At 35.9% G+C, this 19,874-nt stretch overlaps 1 protein-coding gene across 31 annotated transcripts in view; it reads left to right on the top strand.

The window, feature by feature from the left end:
- The window catches only part of SMG7 (SMG7 nonsense mediated mRNA decay factor), an 81,693-nt gene that overhangs the window by 36,182 nt on the left and 25,637 nt on the right, over positions 1–19,874 (top strand). For 23 of the 31 annotated variants that reach the window (NM_001394134.1, NM_001394138.1, NM_001394140.1 and 20 more), the window contains 5 exons: positions 4,157–4,188; positions 7,194–7,311; positions 9,008–9,140; positions 17,916–18,087; positions 19,276–19,347. In NM_001394134.1, the coding sequence (NP_001381063.1) occupies positions 4,157–4,188; positions 7,194–7,311; positions 9,008–9,140; positions 17,916–18,087; positions 19,276–19,347 (527 nt within the window). Of the gene's footprint in view, positions 1–4,156; positions 4,189–7,193; positions 7,312–8,035; positions 8,239–9,007; positions 9,141–17,915; positions 18,088–19,032; positions 19,052–19,275; positions 19,348–19,874 lie in introns of those variants that run through there. The other 8 variants (NM_001394137.1, NM_001394142.1, NM_001174061.2 and 5 more) reach the window with 3 other exon arrangements.

Here is a 19,874-nt window from a genome sequence, read left to right on the forward strand (position 1 = left end):
TAGCTTAACCCTCCCACCTGTCTAAATGGATATTTTGGGGATACAGAAAAAAAAGTTAGTGGATAATAGTATATAAGCCAAACTTTGTTTTAAAGAGTTTGCCACTAGATTTTATCAAAAACATAGCATGGCCTGCAAGTACTGTTTCTAATTATATGAGACTGTATTTTTTAAGATAGTCCACTTTGTGACAAGATCAAGATATTAACTAATAAAAACAGACTTTTACTCTGCAGACACTATTGTTGATGATTCCTTATAACCATAATTTGGTTTGGGAACTTAAAGAAGTTTTACTTTTGTTCTTTTCGTCAGATATTCCTTAGAGCAGGAGATGGCAAACTTTTTCTGTTAAAGGATCAGATAGTAAATATTTTAGGGTTGGTGGGCCATGTGGTTGTTGTCTCAACTCTGCCTTGGTAGCTGAAAACAGCCACAGACAACATGGAAATGAATGTGTGTGGCTGTGTTCCAATAAAACTGTCTTCACAAAAATAGATCCAGGATGAAAGGGAATTTCATCCACAAGCCGACCACGGCATTCGAGTATAAAATTTATTTCTTGTGGTCCTTTTGATAAAAATTTCAGATATAATCTATTTCCTTTATGAACAGATCTTTTAATTTAGGCTAACTGACTTAAATGTGAATGTTCCTAGATAAGCCAACATTAGCTTTTTATGTCATAGTAATTTTGTTATTCTACTTTGAAAGAAATAGAAATGACTTGGACTTTGTGGAGTCATTTAAGAACAAAATTTGTACCTAATTGTACCTGACTGCTTTGTGACTGGAAGAATTATTTTACATCTCGGAGCTTCAGTTTTTCCATTTATAAAACAGGAATAAGTATAGCTATCCCGTAGGGTTGTTATATTTTCCATTTAGCTGTCTTTATCAATTCAATTTAGCAAGGTTACTTTTAAAAAGAAAGCTAATAATTGTCATTATTAGAAAGCTAATAAAAGTAATTAACTTGTGCTTCTTTCAGAACCTAGGAAAGAACTGCCCAGAAATGAGCGCCTCTACCCTTGTTATACTGAGGAATCAAAGCTGGAATTTCAAAATATTTTAACTTTTATGTCAGTTTTTGTGACATTTTTATATTTCTATTAGTGCTTGACTTTTTAGTTTTACGGTTTTTCTTGGACAGATTATAGCATGGTAAAAATAACAGAGTAAAATTTTAGATCTGTGTTTATCAATGGAAGCCTGCTCCAGAGTCTGCAAGAACTATAGTTCATCACCTGACAGCTTATAAGAAAAGCAGATTGTTTGTAAATTACATTACTATTATATACCCCATATAATCTTTGACTGGAAGTTGGTAACATCATTAGGTGGATGTTAGCATACTGAAATGTTACTTGTTCATCTTTACAAAACAAATCATGTTTGGAATGAGAAAACAACCTTTAGATGCAGTATATATCCTGAACATACTTGAGTATAAATTTTTAGCTAACATAGGGAAGCATAGTAAAGTATATCCTTTGTAACTTCGCAACTCAAGGACAAAATGAAAGGTCATTCATTGAATCTAGTAAAGGTACATAATTAACCCTAGCTTTCTCACTATAAGGTTTATAAATTAGTACTCTCCAATAGGATTTTTCAGGGGAGGAGCGACATTTGTGACATTGGTAGGATAGGGTACATGGTATGCTTTATTAAATTGTATAAACTTAGGTTTTAAAGGCATAAGCCAACAGCTTTGCAAATATGTATTTTTTTTTAATGGCAAAAGTTAACACCTGAAGTGAAGAGTGAAGTCAGGCTATATGGATAATGGAATTTGATATGATGTTACATTTTACGACTAAGTGTGGCTATTTGTTTAGTATTCTTCATTTATGTTGCTAGTTCTTATAGGGCTTATGGTTACCTCCTTAGCACTACATTGAGATTCTGTTGTTTGAAAGCTTAATTTTTAAAAAGATGTAAATATCTTTTAAAGGCTAAGAGAATGAAAGGATTTGCTTTACATTTTAATGAAACAAATTTATTAGGTTGGTGCAAAAGTAATCATGGTTTTTGCTATGTTAAAAAATGGCAAAAACCATGATTACTTTTTCATCCTAATACAATTGACATTAAATACTTAATAAATTATATAAAACAATATTTACAGTAAAAATTTCAAAACCTTAATATTCTCTAGCTTTCATGCTAAAAGTGCAGGCGCCTGTAGTCCCAGCTACTTGGGAGGCTGAGGCAGGAGAATGGTGTGAACCTGGGAGGCGGAGCTTGCAGTGAGCCGAGATCGTGCTGCTGCACTCCAGCCTGGGCAACAGAGCGAGACTCCGTCTTAAGAAAAAAAAAAATGGAAATCTCAGCCTGGCATTGTGGCATGCGCCTGTAATCCCAGCTACTTTGCAGGCTGAGGCAGGAGGATCTCTTGAGCCCAGGAGTTGAAGACCATCCTGGGCAACATAGCAAGGCCCAGTCTCTCTCTCTCAAAAAAAAAAAAAATCTCTCTTAAGTTTATATACCTACCTTCTTAAATAGAGTATGAGTCTGATTTATACTTTTCCTCTCATTAAAAATATTGAGTGTCTGTTGTGTGCAAGGTGCTGTGCTAGTAGACAAGGAGTTGTGATGAGCATTCTTAAAATCTGTAATATGTAATATGAAGAAAAACTAGAAGTGCTGTGAGAGCATAAAATAGGATTATCCTTAATCTAGATGGAGTTCAGGTGGGGCTTTCTGAAGCAGTAATGTTCTGACTGAGATAAAAGATGAGTGGTAATTAAGCAGACGAAGGGGGAAGAGGTGTTGCTAGCAGAGTCTTTTATAAAGACCCCTAGTGTGAAAGAAGCAGGGTATACTGGAGAAACTAGAAGTCCAGTCCAGAAGTCCAGAAATGAGCCCGGAGATCAAGGAGTGAAGAGTAGTGGAAGTAGAGTTCAGAGACTGTCGAATGTTGTAGGACAGTTTAGATTTTGTTCTTTACCCTCAGAGTAGTGGGAAGTCATTAAAGTGTTTTAAAGGGACAATTGATAGATCAGATTTGCATTTTTAAAAGATTCCTCTGACAGCTGTTGGGAGAACAGAATGAAATGGGGCAAGAATGAAGTGGAGGAAACAAAGCCAAGGGATGGTTCTTGAATGAGAGTGGCTGAAGAAGAAATAAAGAGAAATCAACAGATTCAAGATATAGTTAGTAGATAACATTTTTTGGAGTTGATAGATGTTAGGGGTTTGGGAGAAAGTTGTCATGGAGGACTTCCAGGTTTCTTCCTTCCACAATTGGAAAGCTATGATGCATTTGCTAAGATGAAACAACCTTACAAAGAGAACTAGAGATAGGGGATGGGAATGGGTCCTGAGTTCAGTTTTGGACCTCTTGAACACAGGCAATTCTTGATGAATTTGAGAGGGGAAAAAAGAGGCAGCAGCTAGAGGGGAACGTGGGGCAGAAGGTTTTTAAAATGTGTGAGATACTTGGACATGTTAAAATGCTGAAGAGAAGGAAAGATCCAAATGAAGTGAGGGAAGTCTCAAAATTGGTGCAAGGGAAGGGGTAAATCAAAGGAACAGTCCTTAAGAAGGGTTAGCAAGAACATACCTAAGTGGAATTATTGTTCTTAAATATTAAATAAGAGGTGCAATACCTCTAGTGTTTTAACAAGAGAAAGTAAGAAGCAAGCTGTATAAATGTAGTACATATTTAGTAAGTGGGAATTGTTTTCCCTGAGGTATGGAACTGTCATTTGGAGGTGAGGAAGGGACATAGGAATCAGTAGCTTGAGAAGAGGGGAAATTTGAAATAGTTATGGTGACTAGTGAATTGAGAAACATAGTAGGTTTTTTTGGCAGCATTGAGAGAATTTTTAAAAAGTTAATATCATTTAATATTATCTTAAGTAAATCACATGTGAAGGAAAACAGCAAGAAAGTGGACTCTACTTAGCAGAAGAGGTCACTTAACTTTTAAGTGGTCCTTAAACTTTTAAGTATTGGCATTAATTTGCCAAGACCTTGTGCTACCCTGATGTTAAAGTAGGGATGCTGTTTGCAGTGCCACAAATATAGCTGCTGTATATCCTTATCGTAGTATATGATTTCACCTAACTTTTAGTGTTATTTATATGTTAGTTAGGCCTCGTTTGTTTCTAACTGATACTCTTTTTTTTTTTTTTTTTTTTCTATCTAGGCAGGCAGAAGTCCTGAAGGCTGACATGACAGGTATTGGCTGGCTTATTTCTTTTTCACAACATATTTTATATATTAAATTAATGGAAGGATATCCTCTTTCTTATATTATGCACAGCACTAAATCCCATCTTAGTTGCCAAAAGGGATGATCATTTACTATCTGCTTTAAATATTTATTGTTTATGTAGTTTGAATTCTTGCTTAAATAACTGTTGGGAATTGCATGTAATACTAATATATGGTATACTGAATTGAATGTTACCTAATTTAGTTTATATAATCACTTAATTTTTATGAAACTTTTTATTAATGATTTAAGACATACAGAAAAAATAACATACCCCATATAAACCAAAATATCTTACAGTGTTAGGCTAATATCTTTCTGGGAAATTTTTTTTTCTATTAATAATTAACCAAACTTTAGTAGGTAAACCTTCAGAAAAAATATTTATAGAAAAATTCTATTGGAAGTCCTTGAAATTGAGTGAGCTACCTTGCTGCCTTTCTTTTCTCCCATATCTTTGTTACTTTTTTTTTTTTTTTTTTTTGAGATGGAGTCTCACTCTGTCACCTAGGCTAGAATGCAGTGGCGTGATCTCGGCTCACTGTAACCTCCGCCTCCCTGGTTCAAGCGATTCTCCTGCCTCAGCCTCCTGAGTAGGTGTGATTATAGGCACACGCCATTACATCTGACTAATTTTTGTATTTTTGGTAGAGATGGGGATTCACCATGTTGGTCAGGCTGGTCTCGAACTCCTGACTTCATGATCCTCCTGCCTCAGCCTCCCAAAGTGCTGGGATTATAGGCGTGAGCCACTGCGCCTGGCCATCTTTGTTGCTTTAAATAATGGCTGAGGTCTTTTGGAAGAATAACTGCCAGGCTTAGCCATTGAAAGGAGTAAATGAGGCATGGTGCGGTGGCTCACGCCTGTAATCCCAGCACTTTTGGAAGCCCAGGTGAGTGGATCACCTGAGGCCAAGAGTTCGAGACCAGTCTGGCCAACATAGTGAAACCCCGTCTGTATTAAAAATACAAAAATTAGCTGGGCGTGGTGGCATGCACCTGCAATCCCAGCTACTCTGGAGGCTGAGGCAGGAGAATCACTTTAACTGGGGAGGTGGAGGTTGCAGTGAGCAGAGATCAAACCCCTGCACTCCAGCCTGGGCGACAGAAAAAGACTCCGTCTCAAAAAAAAAAAAAAAAAAAAAGAGTAAATGATTTAAATACGAAATTAGGAAATATGTTGTAATCACCGTATACTGGTCAGTATGCCCTCCGTAACAGCATATGCCATCCTAAAATGTAATAAGAAGGATAGGTACTAGTGAATCTTATTCTAATTTCTCAATAATTTAGTTCTGCAGTGAAATTCACAAAAAAAAAAAAAAAAAGAATTAAACAGCATACCTGCCAAGATTTGCAAAGAGGAAAAGGACTATTAAAATATCTTTTTGTCAGCTCTAGAGTCACTTAGGCTAATGTCCTAAGAGTTCATGGATAATCTCGTGTCATCTTGTTCAAGGAAAAGTGTGTTGGGGGGTGAATAGCTTGTATATTTACTCAGTAAAAGGTACTACTCAGTTCTTTCCATTATTAACAGATTTGTCATCATCTATATTGTGTATATCAGTGTCTGCTCTGAGTTACTGTATTATGCTCTTGAATTGGCATTGAAAACATAATCTATTGTGTGATGAAAACAGAACATGGAGCAATATCAGGCTATCTGTACCATTTACCTTTTCTTAGACATTGAACAACCTTAGTAAATAGTCTTAGGGTTTGACCTTTATAGGGGACCTTTGGCTGCCCAGAAACTTTAACTAAGATAATGTCTGCTCATTTGAATGATGGTCTTGATAGATGAGAATTAGTAATCTTTTACACTTCTTTTTCTTGCCATAAGTGAATTAAAGCAGGGTTGACTAAATCTATTAGTTAGTGATTAACAATTTAACTAGGGATGAGGAGCTGATAGTAAACTCTATTCTTAACTAGCCTGTAAACTCTTAGGAGCATTAACTCAAATCCAGGAGATTCTCTTTGCAAAATAGGATTGTGGTGGCTATAGATGCTAATAGCAAACCTAAAGAAGAGTGATGATTATTCCATTGTGTAGTAGCAAAACGAAGTAGCCCAGCTAGTTATGGGAAATATATAATTGAAAAGCCCATTATTAAGTTCACCTACTGAGGGAGTTTACTGTCAGTTATTGCAATCATAATCCCAGTGATTGCAAAGGTTAATGTGCCTTGCATGACTCTGGCAGACAGCATGGCCCCAATTTTGTATTATGTGTAGTCATAGCCTGACTTTCTGATTACATTCTACACCCAGTCTCTCATCTGACCTCTTTAGCAATTTAATCCTAGTCTTCTAAGTCTTTGTTTACATTAAATGACTAATGTGGATTGCTCACAAAAGTATCTTAGGAAACAGTCTACCGCTCATTAAAATAATACTGTCATGGCTTATTCGGTCAATATATTGAGAGAGGAGTAACTGCAGAATACCAAAGCAACTGCTAGATAATCAGCTGATGTGAGAATTCTGTAAGGACATTTGTGGGAGTCCTTACAGAGACTCCCTTACAGAGACAAAAAAGAAAGAAAAAGTTGCTTTGGAAAAAGAGATACAGTATGAGAGTAAACAGACCAACTTGACAGTCTGTTATTTCAAATGGGTTGGCTTACTGTAAGGCATATAGTTTCCTGTTATATGAAAAGGCAGAAATACAAACAAAAAGCAAAGGGCAAACCATTCTTTTTTTTTTTTTTTTTTAGCCCTTTTCATTTCATGATATTATTTCAAAACTAAAAACAGAAGCATTGTAAACCAGACTTAGTCATTAGTCAAAAGTTGAAAGTCATTTGAAATATAGTAGTATAAAACTTCTGCAGCATTCTATGGAATATATTTAGAGCAGGTTTTGCCTTGGGGATAGAGCAGGAAGGAGTCACTGGTGTGGTATAATGGTTTTAACTGCTGGGGTTTATCTATCTACCGTTATGTTTTTGTTTTTGTTACTCAGATTCTAAGCTGGGTCCAGCTGAAGTCTGGACATCCAGGCAGGCTCTGCAGGACCTGTACCAGAAAATGCTAGTTACCGATTTGGAATACGCTTTAGACAAGAAAGTAGAACAGGATCTGTAAGTATTACCTATCATTTGAGAAGTCCCTGTAAGATCAAGAATTTCACCGAGACTTTAAAACAGTTTGGTTCGTTATTTATTTTTCAACCTGTTGCAGAATAAACTTTTTCAATGGAAAGTAATTCTAGTATTTGTGATATTTGGCCATTGGTATTATTTCAAATACAGTCTTTGGAGGAGGTAAGAAGAGAAATGTTTAGAGTTGAATTCTATTAAGGTCATTACGGCAGCTCTTTTAGGGCCTGTCAAAAAAAACAAATATATCTATTTCAAATACTAAGAGTGTTTGGATTGTCTGTGGTCAGTCTTATAATTAAGCCGCGATTTAAAAAAAAAATACAAGAATAGGCTTTAGAAAAATCTTTCTTTGTTAAACGTGATTCTATAATTTCCCTGTCAGGAAAATGTATTTGCATTGTAAGGAAAGTTCCTTCTTTTAATTAAATAAGTTGGTAGTATTTCCTCCCCTACCCCCAATAAAATGAAAAATTTTGTGTATTTAGACTTTTCCGCTTCTTCTTTCTATAAGGGGCAAAATGGCAGATAACCAGATTCCCAAGTGAGTAATTGTCTTTTGTGGAAGGCTTTGCCTTACAAATTGGAACAGGGACATTAGCCTGATAGAAATTTAAAAATCAATTAAGAGTACTTTGTCTACTAATGTCCGTTACCCTAAGTTTTGGTGAAGATTAGTTTTTTCTATCATTTACATCTGCCTTAGATACTTTATATTTTTAGGAAGTCGAGTAATACAGCTAAATTACGACCATCAAAATCCTTATCCTGTGATGTTAGAGTCAAGGATAAGATGTCATCAGAAATGCTGAGGGAAGTGATTGTCCTCCTAAGTCATTAAAAAGCCTAGTGCTCTAGAGCCTCAGAAGCTGATGTTGATATAGAATTAGGTACTTCCATGCTTTCCAGGTAAGTTGTAAACCTCTTATCTGTGTTTGCTTCCTTTAATCAGGCCAGTAATATCTTCCCTTTGTTCTAGTTTTTTATTCCCCACTGTGGTTTCCAGGTGAGAGAGTGACTGTATTCATCATAACTGGACTTAAACTGATTCCATATATAACTAGATTAAAGAAAAGCATTTTATAACAGGATTTTGGTATGCCATATTTCAGCATTATATTGTTTCTTATTGTAAATAGCCAAATTTGAAATGTGGCTTATGTTTCAATCACAAGAGAAATAAACAAAACTATTAAATAGCAGTGAAACTGAATGCTCTGGGAAATAACTTTTGGGGAAGTAAGAGATATGGCTTACTATTTACAAAATCCCTGCCCCCATATACATGTCACTTGTTAGGGTATAGTCCATCACATTTGGCACTATATGTAGAAATTTGTTAATACCTTATTTTTACTTTGATCTTGCCACCATTGTTCTGAATTTCTACCGGGATTCCTAAATAAACTCTAGTAGTTCTAAAAGATTAATAGCTGAAGCCACAATCTGATTATTCGAACATTTGGTAAGTGTTTACTAAGGTCAGTTGGATTCTACTGCATGTCTAGTCTTGTTCAAAGGGAAGCATAAAGTTATTTAAATAAATGAATAACTTTAATGCAGGTTTACTGTCTCGTGTGGTATAATTATAACAGACAGTTCTTTCTTGTTCTCAGGGGGACCAGTGTCTGCCCAGTGAGTCACTGCTATACCAAATAGAATTACATTTTGTTTTCAGCTGGAATCACGCCTTTAAGAATCAGATCACAACACTGCAAGGCCAGGCAAAGAATCGAGCAAATCCGAATCGGAGTGAAGTTCAGGCAAACCTTTCTCTGTTCCTAGAGGCAGCTAGTGGCTTCTATACTCAGGTGAGTTCTGCATTGTATACCAGTTTTCTTACTATTAGTGGTAAATATTCTGCTCTTTGTACACGTCTTAATGCATGTAAACAATTCTTGTAACCACTATGTGGGCCATCCAGGGATTGATCACCTATAATCTTTTCTTTTTTGGCGACAGAGTCTGACTTTGTCACCCCAGGCTGGAGTGTAGTGGTGCCGTCATGGCTTCCTGCAGCCTCAGCCTCCCTGACTGAAGTGATCCTCTCACCTCAGCCTTCCCCAGTAGCTGGGACTAAGGTGCATGCCAACACGCCTGACTAATTTTTGTATTTTTTGTAGAGATGGAGTCTCGCTATGTTGCCCATGCTAGTCTTGAATTCCTGGGCTCAAGTGATCCGCCCACCTCAGCCTACCAAAGTGCTGGGATTGCATACCTGAGCCACTGTGCCCAGCCTATAATCTCAATGCAAATGTCCATAAGACCTTTAAAAAAAAAAACGCTGTGCTTTTAAAAGGGTTGATGTTTAGCTTAAAGGTTGGAAGTTTAACTGTATGAATATAAAAGGGATAATTGAGCACAAAGCCTTAGTGAAACAGTGGAAGTAGTCAGTTACAAGTGGTATTAGAGGAAATGTGAATTTATGGATATAGCTATAGTCATTAAAATAATAGCTATGTTGCGCCAGATAAGAAATAGTCAAAATTTGTAATATCAAGTGAGTTTTCATAGTATTATTTATACAATGGAATTTATCTGGATTTTGAGATGTTATTAAACTAAGAAGTAGAGTAGCTTTTCCTCTGTTTGAATAATAAGCTATTATTCATTGTCCCCAGAGATTTTCTTTTTCCTTAGTCACGTCCTGATAGAACTTCTAAATCAGGCAAGGTAAGAGAATAAATAAATCTTATTTTTGACCATGGGATTTTCTTTAAGCAGAATCTGTTAGAAAATTACCATGTCATCCATTTGTAATAGCATTTGTAATTAACAAAATTTTTGTATATAAATTAGTATCTTATAATGAATGTTAAGACAGGGTTTTGAGAATCTTGCACTGAAAGAAATCTTTGGCCAGTTCTTACTATATAGTACTGCCTGACTATTGCTGCCTATATTTTGGCTTCATTCTGATTTTATCATTTCTTTGAATGAAGAGAAAAGAATCTCTGCTGGGTGCAGTGGCTCAGGCCTGTAATCACAACACTTTGGGAAGCCAAGGTGGGAGGATCACTTGAGCCCAGGAATTCAAGCAGGTTGTGGTGCTACCTGCCTGTAATCCCAGCTACTCTGGAGGCTGAGGCAGGAGGATCACTTGAGCCCAGGAGTTTGAGGCTGCAGTGAACCGTGATTGTGCCACTGTACTCCAGCCAGAGCAACAGAGCAAGACCTGTCTCAAAAAAAAGAATCCCTGTGTTGGAACAATTCAGATAACTGTCATTTCTGAGATTATTTATGTTTTACTTAGACTAAAACATTCATCACAGTTCATTTTTGAAAGAACTCAAGTATGGTTCTTAGTCTCAAAATTTATTTTAAAATTTATGCCAACTTTTAGCAGCAACCAAAAAGTTGATACTTTTTGGGGAATGCTTCTCGAGAGAGGGATTGGTCCTTAAAGCAGATGTTAAAGATTAATTCATTTTACAAGTAGCTGTCAAAAGGCTACTATTTGTAAGGCACGATACTAGATGCTGAGGATATGGAGGTAAATTAGACAGAATCTTTACCTTCAAAGAAATATCTAGACTAAATGAAAAGATGGATACATTAGTAAGTATATTTGTTTTCTTTTCTGATTGTAAAAATAATGCATACCAATTTCAAGAAATTTGTGAATTATACAAAGTCCCAAAAAGTTCATTAATCCTCCCATTCTGGATAAATTGCCACTTTAATATATACTCTTCTTGTGTTTCTATACTTTTTTGCATATTTAAGACCACACTATATATCCATTTTTGTATCTGTTTTATAAACATAATGTAAGCTTTTCCTTGTTAACAGTTTAGCATTTTTGTGTATAAAGCATTTTCTCTAATACTGTATTATTTCCTGAGGACCAGTTGTTCAAATTGAAATCATTAGAAAGTTTAAAGTGAAAGTTTAAATACTGTTGACACCATTTTGTCGTTTTCCCAAAAGTTCATCATTTATAACATTTTTCACTAGTTTCTTCTGTTGTCCTTTCATTTTATTTAGAGTTGTTTGAAGTACAGAAGTTACCAGGATTTTTTTTTTTTTGCAATACCTTTTCCTTTGTCCATAGATCAGTGCATATTTAATAATGAGGGAAATAATCACATTTAAGGAAACAAATAGATATTATAATTCAAATCTTAACATTTGGAAACAACACCAATGTTCTACAAGAGAATAATAGTTAAATTATGGCATAACTGTAGAATGGAAACACAAAATGATTACAGGTTGATATTTATCAAGATTTTATAAGATGAAAAGATTGTTTTGTTGTTGTTAAGTGAAAATCATATAAAATTATATATATATAATTTGATTCTACATGTTAATTGAGTAGTCTCAGTTCAGTGGGATATTAATGAAAATGGTAACTTTTTTTTCAATCACTGCTTTCAACTATGCTCTGTTGGATTCCCAGATTCCCATCATTTCTTGGACAGATTCTATAACATTCTGGTTGCTTTCCATTTTTGAAGCATAATTCAGTTTTAAAACCTTAGTTTTGTTTCTGATTCAAATCTCATTTCCTTCCCCCATGAATAGAAGCTAGAACTGGGAACATGACTAAAGTAGGGGGAGTAGGAAGGAGGTGGTGCAGCTGGCTCTGTTGGGGGGAGGGGGAAGGCATCTACCTTCTGCAGTACATTTTTATAATAGCCATTATACAGATTGGTTTGTCATCTTGAAAAATGATTCTTAATCTTTTTTCGTTACATGACATACATGTGATATATTCCCAAGGGTTTAACTAGAAATTGGTAAACCAAAACAGATCTGTAAGGAAGTAAAGAAAGAATCATCATTTTTATTGAGGGAGTATGGTATTTGTAAAAACATTTTATAAGCAAGGGAATAATAAAATCATGTAAATGTCTCAAAAATTGTTTTTTAAAGGGAAAATATGGATACTCTCTGAAATTTTTTTAAAACTTTTTATAATAAGCATTGATTCTCCCCGACTGCATTCCACAGGCAGTGATTGAGCAATTATGATAATTGTAGAATAAGCATCAATAAACGTCTTTATTTTCACATTATGATATCAGTTAACAATATTAATAGAATTTTTCACTTGCTTTTTTTTTTTTTTTTTTAAGACAGAGTCTTGCTCTGTTGCCCAGGCTGGAGGCTGGAGTGCAGTGGCACAATCTCTGCCACTGGAGTGCAGTGGCGCTCACTGCAACCTCCGCCTCCTGGGTTCAAGCGATTCTTCTGCCTCAGCCTCCTGAATAGCTGGGATTACAGGTGCGCACCATCACATCCAGCTAATTTTTGTATTTTTAGTAGAGATGGACTTTCGCCATGTTGGCCAGGCTGGTCTCAAACTTCTGACCTCAGGTGATCCACCCACCTCTGCCTCCCCTAAGTGCTGGGATTACAGGCGTGAGCCACTGCACCTGGCCTCACTTGCATTTTTATATTGTCTTTAATCAATAATTGAAACGGATAATGGTGTTACTAACAATAGTGTTCCACAAATCTTTCTTGATTACATGCAGTGCATATTTAGCACCAGATTGAGAAAGTAGACAAATTCCAGATTGTTATATGGCCTTATAAGCTAAGATGAGTTTTGAATTTTAATTTTAAGTGTAGTTGCAGGCCAGGCATGGTGGCTCATTCCTGTAATCCTGACACTTTGGGAAGCTGAGATGGGAGGATCACTTGAGACCAGCCTGGGTAACGTGGTGAGACCCTATTCTACAAAGAATCTAAAAATCAACCAGGCACGGTGGCGCACACCTGTAGTACCAGCTACTCTAGGAAGCTGAGGCAGGAGGATCACTTGAGCCCAGGAGGTTGAGGTTGCAGTGAGCCATATTTGCGCCACCTGCCTGGGTGACAGAGTGAGACCTTGTCTCAAAAAAAAAAAAAAAAGAAGGAGTTGCAAGTCACTGGAGTTGGAAAGTAAGCAAAGGAAGAACATGATCAGATTTGCATTTTTAAACGATAACCCTGGATAAAGGGATCAGCTATGGAAGCTAGCTATGGAAGTTAACTCTATTAATTCCTGTTGGCCATACTTGGATTAGATGGATTGGATTGAATTTCTGGAATCAGAGTAAAGGAGGAGTCAAAGCAAATACAATTATCAGTGTGAGCAGCTAGTCGAGTGGTTGTACCATTTACTGAGATGGGAAACACTAGGGGGAAAGTAGCTTTTTCCCTATTAAAGTAGATGCCTGTTTGACATCTAAGTAGAGATTTGAAATAAGCAATTGAATAAACAAGGTTGGAGCCCAGTGGAAACATCATAAAATCATAAAAATTTTATGATTATAGTAAAGAACCCTGACTTAGTCAGATGGTAACAGATTTAGCACAGGAGGAGCCACCATTGCAATCAAGAAAATGAGAGAGAGAAGGTGCCTTGGAAGCCAAGAGAAAAACATCTGAATAAGGAAGGGAGTCATCAGCCCTGTTGAGTGCTGCTGAGAATTAAAGTAAGATTTAAAGTGACCAATTAGGTTTGACAACATGAAAGTCATTGGTGAACTTAATGAATACCATATTTCTTCATTTCTGAAACTTTTTTTTTCATATTTTAACATATCTGAAATAGAGATAAGTTTATAACAGATGACAAGTGACCATATAACTTGTGGTTTTTTCTCAATATTATATAAGATGATGGTTCATCTTATAATTTATGGTGTCTTTGTATTGATGAAATGTAACTTCAGCAGTGTTGGGGATAGAAACCTGATTAGAGTGGATTGAGAAGAGACTAGTACTTGGTTATCCACAGTAACATTTTCTGTGAAGATAGTTTTTTAGTTTTTTGTTTTTTTTTTTTAAAGACAGGCGCTCACTCTATCATTTTGGCTGAGTACGGTGCTTAATCATAGCTCACTGAAGCCTCAGACTCCTTGGCTCAAGTGATCCTTCCCCACCTCAGCCTCCCAAATACCTAGGACTACAGGCTCATACCAGCTACCTTTTTTTATTTTTTGTAGAATGGAGTCTCACTATGTTACCCAGGCTGGTTTAGTTTTAACTTCTTAGCTACCATTTTGTTAACCAGTTAAAGCATGGGGCTTAAAGCAGAACCAAATTCCTGGTCAAAGTAAAGACATACCATTCTGCTGTAGGTTGTTTTTAAACATCAAAGAACAGAACGGTAGCCTTTATTCTAAGAAAATAGGAACCAAAAAGAAAGTATAATCACTGAGTTTCTGTATTAGTTTAAAAGGTAATATTCTATACCTTCATAATCAATCTTTCATTCTTGGCATGGAATAAAGAGCTGAGGAGACAAGAGATAGTGTAAAAATTGATAAATAGGAACCCAGAAACTGTTCTAGTACTGCTCTAGGGCTAATTGTGACTATTTGGACAAGTCACTACCTCTGTGGTGCTTAGCTTTCTGATTGTAAAAAAGAGAGTTGACAAATGCTTATAGGTTCATTTTCCAGTTTTATAGTTCCATGATTATAATTTGGGAAGAACTAGAGGCATTAATATTCAGCTACAGCCTTAGGAATATCTCCCAGTCAATACTTCTGTATAATGAAGTAACTAAGTTCTTATCAGACTGAGGAAACTACTACAAAGTAATGTACATCAGGGTCAACCTATATGAAGGTAGGACATTGTTTTGTTCAATTTATGAAACATCCTTTTCTCTTCTTTAGTTCCATCTTGTTACTGCCTCTAAACCAACTAGAGCTCTCTTTCTCAGAATCTTTGAGCCAGTAGGAGCTTTTCTGTCTGATATCACCACTTAAACTCTTGGGCTCAGGCAGAAATTTTATTACAAGACATTCTACATGATGTTCCAACCATAATTTTATTTATTTTTTGTGATCTTTCTTTTTTGTTTTTGCTAGATGTGCAGCCTTGCCTAGTTTTCCAGTCTGTTTTTTCATTACCTATTGAAGTCAGTTCTTTAACCCTCTCATGTTTCTTAGTTATCCACTTTTGTTTTTTGTTTTTTTCATAATATATATGTAGGTATATATATATTTACATATATATATTTTTTTTGTTCCTGCCCTGTGCCTTGTGCTTTTTCTATTTCTTAACCCATCCCGTTCAGGACATTAACTTATTTACCCTGTTTTTTTATGTATTCATTTTATTTTATTTTATTTATTCATTTTTTAAGACGGGGTCTCTCTCTGTCACCCAGGCTGGAGTGCAGTGTATATCATAGCTCACTGCGGCCTGGAACTCTGGGGCTTAAGTGAGCCTCCCGCCTCACCCTTCCAAAGTACGGGGACTATAGCACTGCATGCCACCACACGTGGCTAATTTTTTGTTTCACTTTATTTTCATTTTTATATTCATTCATTTGTTTATTTTGTAGAGACAGATTCTTGCTTTGCTGTCCAGGCTGGTCTTGAACTCCTGACCTCAAGTGATCCTTCCGCCTTGACCTCCCAAAGTGTTGGGATTACAGGCATGAGCTACCATGCCTGGCCTTGTTTACCCAATTTTATGTTAGTGAATTTCTTGCCCATTACAAATGTACAAGTAAAGATGGAGTAAATAATTTCCATGCCCAGTGAGAAAGGGTGCGCAGAATTTATATTTAGTTATGGAGGTGATTTTTATCTTAGGAAAAAGGTGGCATGATTCAGATCCTTCTGAGTTGAGCCCTTAGGGTGTCTTATTTTGTATTTTGAATTCTGTACATGCTAGAAAGAGTGGTGATAGAATCAAAATATTTCTAATTCTATAACCTTAGTCCAGTCGCTTGATTATTTCTGCCTTCACATCCTCATCTGAAAAAAATTGAGCTTTATATCTATGTATACTGTGTTGCTACTAGTTTATCACAAGGATAAAGTGAGACAAATTTATCAGATAACCTAGGGAAATAAGTTACGTTATAAATGTAGAATATTCTGTTGGTTATATTGTGTGTCATGTTGTCTGTCCTTCTCTCCTTTCCCTTTTCCCTCTCCCTCCCTCTCTCCCCTCTACTTCTCTTTTTGTACCTGACTTGCCCATTTAGCTACAAGCTCATGAAGGAAACATATTTTCTTACTTGTCTTTGTATCTTTCTTGTTTACTGGGTGTCTGATATACTAGCACATACTTGGATGAATATAATAATATTTGAATGACGATATTTGTAAGTAAATATTTGAATAACTGTGAAGTAAATATTCTTCACAGTGTGAAGAACTGTGTGCGGGGCAAGAAATAAGCCCTTGGCAAGCAAAGTGAGAGGAGAAAAGCCTTTCTATGAAGGAGACTGAAAAGGAGTGATTGGAGAGATGACAGAGAACTAGAACAGCTCAGTAATCAACCATAAGATCAGATGTTTTAAGTGCAGCAAAGAGGTCCAATAAGATGATGTCTGAAAAATATCCGTTGTATTTGGCTATTAGGTAACCAATTGTCTGATAGTAGTTTCAGTAGAGTGGTAATGGATGGTTGGGTGAGAGGAGGGAGAGGGGTTGTGTGGAAGCCAGATGATAATGGATTAAGGAGTAAATAGAAATTGAGAAAGCAGATATGAAAAGTGTGGACTCCTTTGAAGGCATTTGGTTGAGAAGAAGGAGAGACATTAAAAGGTTGCTATAAAGTCAAGAGGAGAGTGTTTTAGCTCTGTTTTGTTTTTTGTTCTTGTTTTTTTCTGTGGGAGACGTGGTGTGTAGGCCATAGGAAAGAAGCATGAAAAGTTGACAGTAGATGAAAGAATGGAGAGGTGGGAGACAGACAGGAACCAGAAAAGAATGTAGCAATAGGCACACATAGGCAGAAGAGTTAGCTCTGACTAGGAAGAAGAGCCCCTCATACTTTAAGAACAGAGAAGAGAGGAGGTAGGAATGGGTGATACAGTAAAGGTGTACACTACGGTGAGATTCGTTGTATATGCAAAGACATGTGAATTGGCATACAGCTTAAGAAAATAAATTGCAAGAAATACCTAAAGTCTGACAAATACCTTGGCTTACATTTAAGTCAAATTTGTAACCAATATTTAATAATTTTTGGGTTTCTGAGAGTAGTAGCTTTCTTTGCTTGCTTAATGTGTCTGAAAATCGTGTCTGAAAATCCTATCCAGTTAAATAATCTTTTTTTAAAATGCTGCTGTATGCACATCCTAGATTGCTGTAATACTTGAGAATTCAAAAGGTATGATTTATAATGAATGATACTAGTTATCCTGTGAAAGATTAACGTATAATATATATATATATATATATTTTTTTTTTTGGAGACAGTCTTGCTCTCTCACCCAGGCTGGAGTGCAGTGGCGTGATCTCGGCTCACTGCAACCTCCGCCTCCTGGGTTCAAGCGATTCTTGTGCCTCAGCCTCCCTTGTAGCTGAGACTACAGGTGCTCACCACCACTCCCGGCTGATTTTTTTTTTGTATTTTTAGTAGAGACGGGGTTTCATCATGTTGGCCAGGCTGGTCTCAAACTCCTGAGCTCAAGTGATCCGCCCGCCTTGGCCTCCTAAAGTGCTGGGATTATAGGCGTGAGCCCCTGTGCCAGGCCCGAAAGATTACCATATAATTTTCATGCAGTTTTTGTTCAGATTTCAGCAGTATGTGGTACTAGGTACACATCTTACAGTTTATAAACTTTACTTTTAGAGCACTTGTGACTTACTACTAAATTTTGTTTGTTTTTCTTTTAGTTATTACAAGAACTGTGTACAGTATTTAATGTAGATTTACCATGCCGTGTGAAGTCTTCCCAATTGGGAATTATCAGCAATAAACAGACGCATACCAGCGCCATAGTGAAGCCACAGTCTAGCTCCTGTTCCTATATCTGCCAGCACTGCCTCGTCCACCTTGGAGACATTGGTGAGCCTTTGCTGTGAAGGAATTGATAATATGTTCCTCCTTTTCTTTGGAATAGTCATAGAAAGAAACTGTTTTCCTTTAAGCGGAGCATACACACACAATTTAGATTGTCATAAGAAGAAACTATAAAATGTATTCTAAGGAACTTAAAATTTCTCAATATTTTTGGGATTGGCAGAGCATCGTGAAGAAAGTAACTTTCATATTAAGATTTAAATTTTATTCCAACTTTATGTAATTTATATAGGCAAATAATAAACAGCAAAAACATAATCAAAGCTTAATTTTTCAAAGTGGTGCCATAATTTCTAAATTAAATGTACTCTTCTGGAATAAATGAGGTTTATAAATTACTCCTGAAGCGAAATTGCCTTCTTTCTTTCTTACCAATGGACTAAAAGTTGATTTTTAATTTTGCTTCCTTTTTAAAGTTTAATTTGTATTTCTATTATTTGCATTTTATCTGGGAATATTATATAACTTATTTATTCTTGTTCATTCCTTTAAGGTGACCTAGAAAGGTTGTAAAACAAATTAACTATAGGATTATGTTTTGCTTGTCCTCAAATAACAAAGAATGGAGAACATTACTGCTTTTAAGTTTGAAATTTTAGATTTCTTAATATTGTAAGTCAGCGGTTCCATGAGGAGGTCACATCAGAGTAAGCAGTGAGTTTGGCAGGGAGATTCATTGATACTGTGTTTAGGTTGTTTTGCTTTAAATATAATCTTTGCACACACATATTTAATATTGCAATAGGAATGAGACATTTTTCAAAATCACTTTATAAAATATTGAAAAATACATAATTTTCAGATCATATTGTATAGTGTATTTTGTTTTGTTTTGTTTTTAAGTGCCATATAACTCACCCCTTCTTGTGGGCCGGCTCCAGGTCACCAGCATAGTCCATAGTGGGAGCTGGTGATGCATGACACTGGAGGACCTGAAAATGGGGTCTAGGTAAGCTTTAAAATTGGTTACATGCTGAATGTCCCAAATAAGGAAGGCTGATGGACACTTCACACATAATCCTATAGTTAATTTGTTTTAAAGTATTTTGTCTTTAATTTTAAATTAACTTTAATGTCTTTATTATCTTTAGAACTTAAAACTATAGCTGTTTTGGAAATACTACCCTACTGTTTGTTTTTTGGGTTTTTTAAAACTAATTTTCTTCTTCTTAGCTCGATACAGAAACCAGACCAGCCAGGCAGAGTCCTACTATAGGCATGCAGCTCAGCTTGTCCCCTCCAATGGTGAGTGGACCTGTCAACCTGAGATTGACCGTGACACTTTGTTCTTTATAACAATGTGGCAGATAACTCAGGGCTCACCTTTGAAGTTTTATGAAAGCAATAAATGAGTTTTGTTATTGTCATGTTTTTCCATTTAACTGTACATTCCATGTAAACTAAAATGAATTTTTTTTACAAGTAAGATGACTTTTATTATTTATTTTATTTTATTATTTATTATTGTCAGTAAAGCAATATAGATAGAATCTCTTAATGTAATCTGATATTGTTTCTACAACTCTGGCTTCCTTAATTGCTTATAGAATAATTATTTCTTTAGATACCACCATTCCCCTCCCCCCAGAAAAACAATCTATTACCTAAAAGATAATCTTTTAATGGCCCCAAACTAGGCATTAGCAGTAGTTCTTGAGTTACAGAAATTACAGCAGATATTTAATTATTTAAATCATTCTTACTAAGACGTTGAAATTCCTTTAGATTCTAGAAAGAGTCTAAAGCAGGGATGATAGTCTGACCACACTACT

The sequence above is a fragment of the Homo sapiens genome, chromosome 1, assembly GCF_000001405.40.
Source record: "Homo sapiens chromosome 1, GRCh38.p14 Primary Assembly".
NCBI classification, from domain to species: domain Eukaryota; kingdom Metazoa; phylum Chordata; class Mammalia; order Primates; family Hominidae; genus Homo; species Homo sapiens.